Here is a 15452-nt window from a genome sequence, read left to right as displayed (position 1 = left end):
GGGAAGAGTTACTGAGAACCATGGTTTTAGAAGCTTATGTTTCTGAGAGTTTATAAAATCCTCTCTGGCCTCAGAGGCTCTACATTGTTTCAATCCATATTTTCTTTGTCTTTTATGGCTTTTCATGTTTCACATCCAAAAACCACATTTGCATCCAAAGCATGGATTTCCTGAGTTTGACAAAGCTGATCCTACGGATTCCATTTCCATAAATCCCTTAAAGTGTTTTAGTGACTTTGCTCATTTTGCAAAAATGTCTCTGACAAAAACACAGGGGAAGACAATTGCTCTTGACATCACAACAGTTTAATATTTTAACTTATTCATTAAATTGTGCTTCACATCAATGGAAATCTTCAGTTCTACAAACTATCATTTTTAAATAGCAATAAAGGTTGATAATGTCACAATACAGTCCCCTAGTAACTGAGTTCATACATATTATTGTACAGAAATAAAAGGAAATATCTCTTAAGAGAAATAATTTACTATCTACTGAATAACTATCTACATGTAAAATAGGTCCCCACATAAAGATCCAGATTTTTCTTTCCAACACTGAAATGATACATTAAAAGAGAAATAATGCAATCAAAGCCCCAGAAGTACTTCTGAGAAAGAAAAAAAGGAAAGTGAAAAAAAAATGATCATATGATTAACAAATAAATGTCAAGGAGGTGGAAGACACATGTGACAATTACTGAAGTACACAAAACTTTTGCTCCTCAAAACACTGGTTTTTCTGGCAAGATGTCAATCTGGCCCTTTGATGAGTTCCCATAATGCAGCAGAACATGTAGCTCACACAGGTTCCACTGAGTGTGCCAAAGGATGACAGTTGCAATCCTTTCCACAGACATCTTGGAACACAGGCTCAAGAGACACCTGTCCATCTGCGTTCTCAATCTGGAGTACTGCTAGGTTAGCATGAGTCCTTGCCTAGAAGTTCAAGGGCTTTTGTGTTGCAGATGTTGCTGGTGTTTATAGCTAGGCCAGTCCTCTGGAAATTTCTGCACCTCTGCCAGGCAGGTTGGTTCTTTCACATGCTGTGAAGATGGGTTCATGTGCATTCCATCAATTCATTAGGCTACAAAACACACAGGTTTCAGAACCTGCCCACTTGCTCAGAAGGGCTAATTTGAAGTCTCAAGGAATTAGTTCAGATTTGTCCAGGTGAATGTGGTGAGAAGAGAGCAGGCATTGGCTTATGTCCAGTGGAGATGGCGGAAGGGGAGAAGAAGGAAGGCCGAAAGTGCCTTGGAGAAAGAACCCTCGCATGCTCCTCAGATGGCACAAAATGGGTAGAATCATCAGACCCAGCCAGCCCTAATACCCAGCCTGAAGACATGCAGTTGCTCTGGTGACCAATGGGGTCACAGCAACTATGGGAAAGGAAAACCTTGGAGTCACAGCTGCGATCAGATCAGGGTATTCTTGTGTAAGTCCAACCCAGCTTTCTCTTTGATCTGATCCTTCCAACTCAGCTTTCAGTCCCTACAACCATTCCAATGCTCTGGTCCTGTCTCAAGATCCTCTTCATTCATTTCTTTTAAATAGCTAAAATAATTATAGTCCATATGTTTCCAGGCTGCCCTAGTTCTAGAGGACAGAGACTGTATCTTAGTCATTTTTCTATTTTTTCAGTATTACATGTCATATATTTAATTCATTACCTTTCCACCTTGGAAAGATCTGCCTCCTTTAGGAGCCACAATTTTCTCTAGAGTTACTCCTACTCTCCCTAACCCCCATCTCTAAATGATCCCACTATACAGGACCTCAGATAGAGATCATGGTTGATAAGGAATCAGATAAACTCTCTGTGTGCAGATGTTATCTTAGGACAACTTAAAGCATTTCCTCTCTCCAGTGAGTATGCAAAGGGACTCATTTAACAGCCAATGAAACCTTTAAGAATGAAAGCAGTATGTTGCTGACAAAGTACCAGGAGCCTGGGGAAGAAGACATTAAAAAGGGAGAGTTTTCTTTCTTTTTTTTTTTTTGGTTGGTGGGGGCGGGTTTATATTGATTTCCCTTAATAGGGAGTTGTGAGCACATTCCCTCGGCCTTCATATTGAATAGGTTTTGAGTTGGATGGAGTAGACAACCTGCTAGAAGTGTTTGAATGCCTCCTCTGAGTTTTGGTCTCCCCTGCAGCACCGCCCATCTCTTGGATATTTCATTCCTAATAAGAGGCCCCCTCACTGGAGGTAGGGAGCTGAGAGTAAACTTGACCAGTGTCTTTGGCATTTTCCATGTCAAAAAAGGTAAGGAAGGATATAAATCAATAAAGATTTACATTTCATATTCTTGCAGTTCCCAATCCCAGTACTGATGCTGAGCTGCATAAAGTAGTCGGAAAGACTATGAAGTCAAAAGGCTGGGGCTCTAAGCAACTTTCTTGCTCATAAATTAGAGTCGTTGGGAAATCTTTCAACATATCTGACTCTCCATCCCAAACTAGCAAGTGGTGTAATGAATAGAGGTCCTATTTAGCACACAAGAATGTAATGAGGACCAAATGAGACAGCACATGCAAAAATGTTCTGAAAACCATTAAATGCTACACAAAGTGATGAATTTTAGTCTTATCTTTCGCAAAACATATGATGAAGTAAGTGACATTAAAAAGCACTTAAATATCGTTTGGTTCCCTTTTGTATCAGATACTGATAGTCTTTATCAGTATTAATTTCCACATTATTTCACATTGTTTCTTTAATAACAGAACCTCCTATGCTTATCAAGGCACATGACAATCAATAATAAAGACATTCCCTAGCCTTCTTTGCAGCTAGATGTGGCAAATGTCTAGGTTTTAACCCATGAGATGTGACTGGAAGCAATATGTGCAACTTCCCTCCACTTCCTCTCTACTATCTTAAATGTAAATGTGATGGCAGGAGCTGTGGCAGCCATCTTGGTCCATGAGGTGGATGCAGCACATTAGGATGACAGAGCAACAGGAGAGGGCCTAGGCGTCTGGTAACATCACACACCAGAGCTGTAAAACCAGTTTGCCTTTAAGTAAGAGAGAAATAGCTTCCATGTTAAGTCACTATTTTGAATTTCTGTGTTAAAACAGCTGAATGGGAATTCTATCCAATCCATTTATATTTATTTTTTAATGATCTATTCTTATCTCCTTGCTAGGTCTATCCTGGGGACCTTCTTGCCAATATTAGTACTATCTCTACTCAGATTTTTTTTAAAAATTACCTTAAAGGCATAACAAGGAGTCCTCATACTTCAAACTTTTAATCAAACTAATTATCACAAAGTTACCTCCTTTAGATGAGAAGAAACACATCTTTATCATTTTTAATAAAAACACATGATATGCCTCACTGTTGTCTAACACTGATTGTTAATGTTACCAATTACTATTATTAGCATTCTAATAATTCTCAGGGCAGTTTCCTCCAGTTTCCAAGAGTAGGCTGCCTAAAAGCTAGAAGGAGACAGAATAGATAAGTGTGTATCTTAGTCCTTAATAAAACACACACACACCACACACGTGCACATATACACAAAGTTGTCTCATCCTAATCTCCAATCTGGGTACTGGAGCTTCCATTGCCAAGAGAAGGGAAAGAACTGTAGGAGTCAATAGGGTCATAGAACCCCTGGGGATTGTTTTTTTCTTTTTTGTCTTTTCTTGGGCTTTTGACACTGATATATCTGGAGTTGATTTGGTTTGGGATTTAATGCTCCTGACTTCCATGGATCCTTAGGCCCAGACGCCTTCTGCGGGCATCACTTCCCTGAGCATCACTCAGCATGGAAGTGGGCAGTCCATTTTTGGAGAATAAACTGTATCCCTACCTCTCCATTTCTATCAACATAGGACCCCATGGGTATGACAAGCTTGCTGCTTTAGAATGAAATGATATGAGGGAGGAAGCCCATGTCGGTCTTTTTAATTTGCTTAGTACTGGCCTGGGGCCAACATAAAGAGCTGGCTCCCTCTGAACATCCTGATACCTGGTCTCAAGTGGAGCCGCATACATCATGCCTTCAGCAGAAGGCAGTGGAAGCCTTTGATACCAATCCCGAGGTGCCTAAGGAACAGCGTGAAGTGAGCAGGGGCTGCCTCCAAGTCTCAGTTATGCATGAATTCCTTGCCAAAATTTTAAAGTGAGTTTAAAAGAAACAATCTGAATGCTTTCTAACTTGTTTTGATTTTCCACATGACAAAACACTGGATTGTTTGTGTGTGTGTGTGTGTGTGTGTGTGTGTGTCACAGGGGCAGGCAGAAGGATAATTTGCAGTCCTGCTATTCTAGGCAGAACATTAGATCCTAACAATGAGATGAGAAGCTAGAGAGAGAGAGAGAGAGAGACGAACATTAATCCCAGCTGCAATCCTCCTTCCCTTCTACCTTAGGAACAAATCACTGGAAATGGAGAAATATTTTGTGAGCCTAATCTCTACCAAATAACAAGCAACATTTACTTGGCCCCTTTTAACTTACTCTTGTATATGGCTTAAAAAACACAGCTGCCTAAAAAGTCATTGATCTCTCAGCTCATTGATGGCTCAGTGATGTGGAGGGGGCTGGACTGACCCAAGGCAGTATGGCTCTGGGTCACTGTTAGCGTGGTGCTGTCATGGTCGGGCTACCCACATGGGTTAGAGACAAATGCTTCTGGGAAATTGCAGCTGGCTTCTTGCATTATTGGCAGGAAGCTTTAGGTAGGACGAGCCCTTATTCCATATGGATATGGTGACGGAGTAAAGAGAACTTGACCTTTGCAGTCAGCTAGACCTAGCTTACAACCTGTGGAGGAGCTACTTATTTTCTGTGGGCTTCACTATTTTCATCTATGAAATGGAGACTAACAATACCCATTTGTTGTGCAGAATATATTTAAGGTATGAAAAGGGCCTCGTTCAGTTCCTGGAGCAAGGGAGCCACCCGATAATGCCTTCCCTTGCACCCCAGATGAAGCCAAGCACAGTGAGAGAAGCATCTCCAGATCTCTATCTGGTGGAGCTGCTGGACTTCCCTCGGGGCAGGTAAGCACTCTGTGAATGCTTGTGGGCTGACTGACTCACAACCCCAGAGAGAGTATTCTGGAGGCTGAGAAGTGGCTTAGGTAAAGCTAGCTTAAACATCAAACATGTTGGATATCAATGAAATAGGCTTTTCAATCTGATTTAGGGGTTTTACACATTTTGCCTTCAGCTCCTTGAAGGGATTGATCAGATCAATCCGTTGTGAAACTTCCCACTCACTCTGATCCTCCTAATAAATGCTAGACAAAGGCTTTCTCTTCCTTCTTCCATACATATTCCCTTATTAGTCAATAAAATTCTTGTTATTGTAGTTGGGATTATGAAAAGGTGAAAATAAGAACTCGGCAATGCAGCACATTTCTTGTCCAGTTTGAGACACTCTGGCCTGATTTACTGGCTGTGGCCACAGTCTAACAACAGGTAAAGATCATGTAGGAAGAAAACAGTGAACAGGCTGGAGATATTCAAGATGCTGGGAGGCAGAGTCTTTCTAAACTCCTGTGATAACCATCCCATGAATGGTATTCCATGTCTCCTGGCCTAATTCCGAGTTTTTATTCATTTAGTAACCTCAAATATATTTTGTATACATGCTAGCTAAGTTCCTATTCTTTGGGCCAAGCTTTTAAAAACATCTTTCTTTCTGTGGTGGCAAAATTTCAAGACTGGTAGTACCCGATTAAAGAACATAACTTCTCCAAAAAGATTAAACTCTGAAATATTCCTTTAAAAATCTAAGGTTATGTGGCCAGTTTAGAAATGTTAGGCATATATTGACCTTCCTGATATTTTTTTCTCTTAATTTATCATTCATTCCTCACATTGAAAGTAACAATTGGTAAAGTGAGACCCCTTTAGGCATTAGCAAATAAGCAAGTTTTCTCTTAAATGCTCCTACCAATGTTCATTTCTCAGGGGTTACAACCTCCCCTGTCCTGGATCCACTCCCCGTTCCCTAAAAGATGGAAGGAAAGGCATGGCTTAAGGTTATGGTGTCAGGATTTTGTAGGATGTGGGTCTCTAGCAATGGTCAATAATAGGATAATTTTGTTTCAAAACAACTGCAACAACAAAACACGTTACTTGTGATTTAAGTCACATTCAAATAGAGTTCAAGATGACAGCCAACAGCCAAGTGGGGGTTGGTGTAAGACCTCATCTAAGGGCTGAAATGTTTTTCTCTTTCTCTCTCTTTATACCAACTGATATTCTCATAACAGGAGACAGTATGACATAGACCAGTTTCAGCAGAACATCCAAGCCATAATTTGGCTTTTCATGTGTGCCTCTGTGGGTTCCTGGTACCCAAACTATTCTATGCTCCTGCAAAGGAGATCACAGGAACTGTCTCCTTTTTCGGTGTGGCTCTCCTTGGCCTTCTAAAATGGCCTATATGGGATGCACTCCTACCCTACTTAATATCACCAATTGCAAAATGTCAAGAAAAAAAAGAACAAGACGGATAATCTCCAGCTGGATAAAAATGAAGACAAAGAAGGAAGAAGATGTCCAAATCAAGCACACACAGCCAGATGTCCTCAGAATGGCTCAGCTTCTCCAAGGTACCTCAACAGAAAGTCAATGTGCCTGCTCACCCTCCCCCTCCTGAGAGAGGAGAGGGCAGGAGGTCACCATCTCACCACCTGGCTGTTGTAGTCCTCGGTGACAGTCCCTTCTGCAGCCCCATCTTCTTTGGGCCACTGGTGGTCCCTGTGCTCTCGCTGCAGCCTCCGCTCCTCCCGCCGCTTCTGGCGGTCCCTCTGGTGCTCTAGCTGCTTGGTGTGGTGGTAGCGCTGCTGGAAGAGATCTTTTGCATACTCGTAAAGCTGCATGTCCAGGAAGTTTAGATCCTCAATGCGTTGGCGGGCACCCTCGTTGATCTCCACGTTAGAAGCCCGCGTGATGTTGAACTGTGTGAAGGGGGAGATGAACTTGAGGTTGAATGTTCTCTCAAAGAGAAACTGTGTCTTCCTCTGGAACTCAGTGAGCCCAAAGAAGGCCATGTTCTTCAGGTTGTTCTTTGCACTCTGCAACAGGATGGTGTTTCTTTCACTCTCGTTCATGAAAGTCAAGTTATAGCAGCCCACCAGGCTGAGGTCAGCCAGCATGCGCACCTGGCGATTGTTAGCCAGGTTGTAGGTGCAATCCATAAACTCCCGCAAGCTGACCCCAGACCAGTCATCCCCAGGGTAGCAGGTAGGCAGCTCATCTGGGGTGGGGCTTCTTCCATCACACATATGAAGAGAGGTTTTCCAAGTGGCCCCTCTCTGGACATGTTTCCACTCGCTCAGGTAACGTGACACTGGATCCCGTAACATTGTGATGTAATAGAAATTCCTAGAAGAAATTAGAGGAAGAGCATCAGTAGTTGACAACTCTAACAGGAGGTATCTAAATTTTTATAATTTTACATCGGCATTGAGTCAAGGGACTCTTTGCCAAATGTTCATGTGAGAGTATTCGCCTGCATTTGTGTCTATTGATGCATGTGCATATGTTTCCATAAAGACGTATGTACCAATTTTCAATACTGAGTTTGTTGGGCTTTTCCTCCTTGCTCCAGTGTGGGGAAGCATGGGGTGGAAAGAATAGATAGTTCATTCATTCATTCGTTCAGCAATTATTCACTGATAAATTACTGCTGGCAATAACAATACCTTACATTTAGAGAAAACACCATGATTTTTAAGTTATTACCCATCTGCTGTTTCATTTGATCCTTACAGCAAACCTTTTTGGTAGATGGGGTTCTATACGATAGGGTTACATGAAGGAGGTGAAGTGATTTATCCAAGGACATGGGACTAGAAAGAACAAAGTTGAACATGTATTCTCCTTAATCTCTGTTTTTTTTTTTTTTTTTTTTTTTTTTGAGAGGGAGTCTTGCTCTGTCACCCAGGCTGGAGTGCAGTGGCACAATCTCAGCTCACCGCAACCTCTGCCTCCCGGGTTCAAGCGATTCTCCTGCCTCAGCCTCCTGAATAGCTGGGATTACAGGCACCTGCCACCATACCCAGCTCATTTTTGTATTTTTAATAGAGATGGGGTTTCATCATGTTGGCCAGGCTAGTCTTGAACTCCTGACCTCAACTGATCCACCTGCCTTGGCCTCCCAAAGTGCTGGGATTACAGGCATGAGCCAGCGTGCCTGCTGGCCTCCTTAATCTCTTTATACTGCTACTTGGGATTATGAGGTAGGTTGGTTGAGGAAGGATGCGTTGGGTGTGGAGACTAGGATTTACTGGGTGCCTACAATGTGTTAGGAACTGTGCTACATGCTTTATGGATGCTTTGCACAGATGATCCTCAAGACAACTTTGTAAAATGGGTTTTATTGTTACTTTTTAAAATAAAAGCTGAAGCCACAGAGGTTCAGAAAAGTGACACTGGAGCAAGTTAATACCTGACCTGCAGTCTAAGTTAGGCCTATTTGATTTCAAAGCTCCCATGCTTTCCTGTACATCATATTGGTATTTACATTGTAATTTCTATGTATTGACCACCTATTAATTTTCAGGTTCTGTGGTTATTACAGTCACAGATCTTATCTAATTCCACCTAATGGATTACTGAAAATAAACCCATTATTAAATGGTTATCTTTAGAAGAATCACATAGAGATCAGGACATCTGTGGTTTAAAAGGACAAGGGGAGTGTTAAGAGGCAGGAAGGGAGATGGAGAAGTTGAGAAATGAAAGAGAAACAGCAGGCATTAGAGGAAAGTAAATACTGGTTTAAAATAAGGACAATCCTTTCCATGATTTGAGAAGCCTACCAATGGAATGGGCTGCCCACCCCAACCCCATCTTTCCAGCAGAGTCTGGAAGTCCATTTGTCAGGGAAGCCATAGAAAGGACCCCATTGCGGAGCAGGCCCGCAAGCTGTCTTCCAACTCTCACATCCCACTGCAGCCTTTTGTCCTTTAGCACAAGCCAGTCTGATTCCAATTCAATTTTAGTTCAGTCCTTGGCTCGTTGAGGGGGGCCAGCTCCAGAAATATAGGGTAGATCATAGTAACTCAGAGCTCCCCTAGGGAGAAAAAATTAGCCCCTCAATATTCTGAAAAGAACACCAGGCCTGCCCTAACACCTGTACAAATGTCTTGGTGCAATAGAGAGCCCAGGAACCAAGGCTGGTGCTGCCAGGTAGGCTTCAATGTGACCTAGCATGTACTCAGTGGAAAACAGTTATTACCCAGCATGCCTGTCCTCAACCTGGCGTCCAGAGGGCTGGAACAAAACCAGGTCATTTTTCTTGATTCAACTCAGTGTCTGCTCTTCAAAGAAACTTGATGATAAAATAAATACATGTATATAGATACACAGATATATAAGATAGATAGACAGTAGGAGTCTATTGAGGAATGACTTTTGATTACCACTGCATTGTCATAGTTTTTCAAATATCTGTGTTAGCAAAGAAGGGAGCAGTTGTAGATATTCCTCCCCTGTATCATTCCTGTATGTTGTTAGGGCATGCATTTGTACTTAAAGATAAATGGTGGTGTGCCTGACTATAGATACTCTTTGAGTTATGATGGGGTTACATTTCAATAAACCCACTGTAATTCGAAAACACCCTAAGTTGAAAGTGCATTGAGTACACTTAATCTACCAAACATCATAGCTTAGCCTAGCCAAACTTAAACGTGCTTGGAATACTTGTATTAGTCAACAATTGGGCATATTTATCTAACATAAAGCCCATTTTATAAAAAAGTGTTGAATATCTCATATGTTTATTAAATATCTTAATGAAAATGAAAAAAAAAACAGAATGGTTGTATGGGTACTCAAAGTATGGTTTCTACTGAATGCCTATGGTATTCTCATTATTGTAAAGTTTAAAAATAGCAAGCCAAGCCCTCATAAATCAGAGACTTCCTGTATATTTAAATCAAAGGATGTCTGATTCCTCAAAGACCTAAAGACAGAACTATCATTTGATCCATCAATCTCATTATCGGTTATAAAGCCAAATGAATATAAATTGTTCTATTATATAGACACATGCACATGTATGTTCTTTGCAACACTATTCGTGATAGCAAAGACATGGAATCAACCTAAATGCTCATCAATGATGATCATCATCAATGATAGACTGGATAAAGAAAATGTGGTATATATACACAATGGAATACTATGCATCCATAAAAAAGAATGAGATCATGTCCTTTGCTTGGACATGGATAGAGTTGGAGGCCATTATCCTTAGCAAGTTAACATGACACAGAAAACCAAATACTGCATGTTCTCACTTATAAGTAGGAGCTAAATGATGAGAACACATGGACACATAGACGGGAACAACAGACACTGGGGCCTATCAGAAGTTGGGGGGTGCGAGGAGGGAGAGGATCAGGAAAAATTACTAATGGGTACTAGGCTTAATACCTGGGTGATGAAATAATCTGTACAACAAACACCCATGATACAAGTTTACCTGTGTAACAAACCTGCACATGTACTGCTGAACTTAAAATAAAATTAAAAAAAAAAGAAAAATTGAAAAAAAAAAGTTGGAGCAGTTGGGAAGTTGCTCTTACCCCCTTCTTCTCAAAACATTCATTTCCACTTCTTAAAGGTTGATGTTATCACATCAGGACAGGTTTGAAGCAGAAGAGAACTGCTTTGCCACCACACTCTGAAAATTGGCTTTGGTAAGAAAATTTAACATTGATTTCAAAGGAATGGTTAAGAGAGAAAAGGAAAAAGAAAATGATGCAATATTTTGAGTGTTTCTGGGAACTAAGAGTCAACAGAGAGAATAAGAAGCTCAGTAGAGAAGCTAAATCAATGGAAAAGAACACATTCCTAATTCCCAAGAAAGGAAACTCAGCCTCTAGTGATGCCTAATAATTTTAGAGGCAAAGAATAAATTATTGCAGACTTAGATTTAAAGGAGATACTTTATTCATTCAAGACTAACTGATCACTTCCTATACCATTTAGAAAAAAATACTTTTTTCAAGATCTTGGGGCAGAAATTTTCTAATTTTGTTTTAAATTGTAACAGCAAATTTTTTATTTAGATAAACTCACTGAAACACTTGGATGTCAAATGCTTTACCTATAGTCTGGTGCCCAAGACCCTTGGTGTAGCAAACTTGTGAAGTGCCAGGCATGGCACTAAGTAAGAGTCTAACCCATTCCAGAATCCTATGAGATGTGTGCATATTTTGATTTATTTTTATTTAACTTAACGTTGAATAAACTAAGGATTTGGGGAGATAAAATAAGCTGCCCAAGATTATCTTGGTAGTAAGTTATAGAACTTGGATTAATCTGGTCAGATTTACTTAAAAAATAGTCACTATATTATAAGAAAGAAAACCTCCTATTTTGTAGGAAAAACTCAACCTAGTATGTGTTTAACTTGTCCAAGCTAAACTGAATTAAAAAAAAATACACACCAACTTAAAGCAACATTCTAAAAAATGAGAAATGTAAGGGTACAATGTTATTCTACTTGTCAAAAGGAATTGATCAGCTGCAATATTTAAAACTATACATTTTCTATATTCTGTTATCTTGACTGTCTAGCCTTACCACTAGGTAAGCCAGGCAGTTTTGAAATGTGCTAAAGAAACTTCAAAATCTTTAAGTAACATTCATTTTCCTTTAAATCAGGAGGTGAAATTTATTGAAACTGCCAAGGACAGAACAGTCTGAGCTCTTGCTTTTGCCAATCACCATTTTCCATGACTGTTGTCTTTCACTGTGACAGAATGACAATTCCATCAGTGTCAGAAAATTTCCCAAAAGGTCAGCAGGGAAAGCAGAAAGTGACTGACACAGCTTCTGGGCTCCAAGAGGAAGTACTGATGATAAAGTTGTGTGCAGAGTGGATATTACTGTAGTTGAATATCATATGGCATGCCATTATTAATCCTGCTTTAGTCCTATTTTGGGACTTGTTCATGTTTCAGGCTTTTGTCTCAGTTGAGAAAATTGGCCATGGACCTTCCAGTACCATCATTCCACTGGAAATCTTCATTCCACATAATCTTAAAGCTGACTGAAACTGGTTTAGGCTTAAAATGGTTTTGGTTCCAAATTTAACTTTATTCAGTTTAACACTGCATCAAACATTGACTAGCCAAATTGTAGGATGATATTTACATGAGTAAAATAAGTCCTAAATTATGTCTTGGAGTTCTATCAGCCAAGGGGGTACAACTTGAAACTACCTCTGCTCTGACATCAAAACATAGAAATGTCCTAGTGGAATATATTTATTGATGAAGTATAAAGTCATCCTATCTTATGGTTCTGAATCTGAGTGGCTAAAAGCATCTGGAAATCACTTTAGACAGACATATTCTCATGTACATTTTGTTTGTTTCAATCCTGCAAAGCAGACTAAATAGAAAGTTAGAAGTAATAATAAACCAATAGGGTTGAAGAACCTTCTGTTCCGTTTAATTCCATCTCATATGCATAGACAGTATCACTTCTTTGTATATTTTCCGTTACAGTTAACCTAAGCTCTTCCCACATAGTGAAACAATAAATAAGCAAACTCCTATGCCCCCACCTTCAATCTGTCTGTTCATTCATTTTTTAATTCTCCAAACTTTAATTAAGCCCCATCTATTTGCCAAACACTGGGACTAGGCAACAGGGACTCAAAGACTAATATTCCATGTCCTCAAGGAGATCTTAGGCACCCCGTGATTTTGGTAAAGTGAAAGAAATGCTAACTACCAACTTAAGAGAATGTTACACCAATCTCCCTGGGCCAGAACAGTCCCTCAGACAGATAGCTTTTTGTTTGCCATGGTGACAGCATCCTGTCAGCAGATCTTCCATTTGTCACCTACTTCATTGAGGGCTTGGGTGAATTCATTTAAGAATGTCTGTAAAGCAATTGGAGCTCTTTAGAACTGCTGTTCTGTGGCCATGAGGGTTATGATGGCAAACACTTGTGTACTGAGAAAGATTAGGGAATGAGGTTAAGTCAATAATCATTTTAACTGATAATTATAATATAGGCCATCAAGGCTTACTTGAAGTTACACCAAATGGAATACACACATTTCCATAACTGGTTTCAAACCACTTTTAGTATCTTGTTCTGCTGTAAGGCGATCACGTTAAAAAATCCTAAATACAACACAAAGGTATGATTGCCTTCTCTCACGTTGAAAGCCTTTCCCTTTCTTTGCTCTTTGGTATCCTGCATATCTTCCCTGGACCAGCTCAAGGCTCACATCCATCTTCCTTGACTTTCCAGCCTATAGAGTTTACTGCATCACTTACTGCACTTTTAACTTAAATGTAACAGTCTTGGTCATGTCTGCCCTCCAAAGTCCTTTTTGATAACCTTACCTTAGGCCTCAGATCCCTAGCAAAAGTCCCAGCACCTACTACAGAGGCCTACTCACAGCAGATATTAAAAAAAAATTGCTATGTAAAAGAACATTATCACTACATGAAATAAGTATATTTTAATAACTAAGTCTAATATTGCCTTTGATAAATATGCCTTTCTTTCCTCTCCTAAAACTAAACTGATACCTTTTAAAATGCCTAAAATGTGTGCAAGGAGTAAAAAATATATAATCTTCTAATGCACTTGTCATTTGATTGTGATGGTAGGTGATATGGAGTGAAATAGTCAACACAGACTCACTGCAAAAAGGAGAATATTTTATACAACAAGTAATTAGTAACAATGAGGTTTATTTATTTATTTTTAAAATTAAACTTACTGGTTTTCTTCCCTACTGTTTCAAGAACCTATGTTTCACTGAGCAGTTTATTGTATAATTTGTTCTCTTCTTTAATTAGCAAGTCATTTAATTAACACATGCTTATTGAGGGTTCGCTATGTGTAAGGCACTGCTTCAGGAAATGTTGAGAACATAAAAAAAGAAGAAAATGCCCTCAAGTCTTACTGCACAGGTGTGGTAGAGTAGAAAAATGCATTCATTAGCAAGTTACAGAGGTCAGGAGTGGACAAAGAATATTTAAGAGAGCTCTTCAAGAATGTTCCTAGCAGAGTACTGAGACTTGACCAGGAAGCTCATGTTGTGTGTTTCACTAAACGTTCATTTAATGAGTCAATGAATGGAAGGAGGGCATAGACTGGAGCAGGATGTTGAGACCCAATTGCCGTAGGCTCTGAATGTGATTGTGAATTGCTGAAATTGAAAGTGTTAATTTAGAAAGACTCATTCAGCAACAGTATTAAAGTATTAAACAGTATTAAAGATCTCTACCTAAAGTAGGTAGAGATCACAGGAGACATTCAGCAGCCATGGTAAGAGACCAGCAGAGACAACCCCAGAACTGTGGGTGTTGAGGAGAAAGAATCCAGGACAGATTCAGGAAATGCCATGCACCCGCCTGCCACTGCTCTCCCCGGCTTTCTGTTGTCAGCTTTCTCTATGCTACTTTTTCCTCTTTTCTGTTTCTTTCTTTCCTTCTAGCAAATCCTTCCTTTTCAATACTGCAGTAGATAAAAGGCAGAGCTAGTATCTTCATCCAAATGGTAGAATGAAGAGTATAAGTTCCTGGAATCACTTTGCTGGTGGTGATTAAAACAAACTCATGTTTATGAGGCTATGACTTGCCTATCCAAAGAGAATACACTTGAAAGAACTTCATAATGCTAGGTTCACAACAGTTTATTAAATAGATTCCTTCCACCACCAGCTTAACCCTCATAAAGCAAAGCAGCAAAATTAATAGCTCCACACTCCACAGTTTTATGCATTCATAAAAACCAGATCAGGTAGGAACTCCTCCACCCAGCCTGCTCTCACGTCCTCCGTGGAAGGGATTTCTCCCCCATTGCCCCACAAAACCAGAGATCCCCTCATGCACTATCTTTATTCTAGCGACCAGTCTGACTTATACAGGCTTTACACAACTTGAGAGGGGGAACCTTGCCTGACTCACCTTTGATTCCCCAGGATGTATAATGCATGACCTTATACATCATGGATGTTCAGTTGTTCAATGTTTGTGGAGTGAATAAATATATAGCATTTATCAGCCACTCTTTCAGAGATTCTTAGATCTTGTGAGGATCTTGATCCTCTCCATGGAGCATGGACAGGCGACCACCACATCTTAAACATAAGCTGATGTGTGCATTTTAAAAAAGTGAAGCTTAGCTCCCTCTGCCCTGCTCTGCTGTGTGCAGGAGTCAGTTTCCAAATGTTCAGAATGGAATTAATTTCTTGGCTTTCTTTGTTGCTGCACACTCATCATGAGCTACTCATTCTTCATTATCTCACTAGAGTATTGTCTGCCCTGCACAGTATTTGATAGGGGTATTGCGGCAGTTAAGGCTTAGCAATCAGACTGCCCTTTGACACAGCTACGAAAAGGCCTTTGATTCAAGTCTTGAGAACAAATTAAGGAAGTTAAGAATGATGTTCTAAGCCAGTGGGAAGTTGGAGACTAGAATTGCGAAGTA

General features: G+C 40.1%; 1 protein-coding gene across 1 annotated transcript in view; it reads right to left on the bottom strand.

The window, feature by feature from the left end:
* Positions 1-284: 284 nt before the first annotated feature.
* Positions 285-15452, bottom strand: part of HS6ST3 (heparan sulfate 6-O-sulfotransferase 3) — a 749456-nt gene continuing 734288 nt past the window's right edge. Inside the window, exon 2 of the mRNA NM_153456.4 lies at positions 285-7357. Within this exon, the coding sequence (NP_703157.2) occupies positions 6649-7357 (709 nt within the window). The 3' untranslated portion in view covers positions 285-6648. The remainder of the gene's footprint in view (positions 7358-15452) is intronic.

This window comes from Homo sapiens, chromosome 13 (genome assembly GCF_000001405.40).
Source record: "Homo sapiens chromosome 13, GRCh38.p14 Primary Assembly".
In the NCBI taxonomy this organism is placed as follows: Eukaryota; Metazoa; Chordata; class Mammalia; order Primates; family Hominidae; genus Homo; species Homo sapiens.
This window is presented reverse-complemented; position numbering and strand designations above follow the sequence as displayed.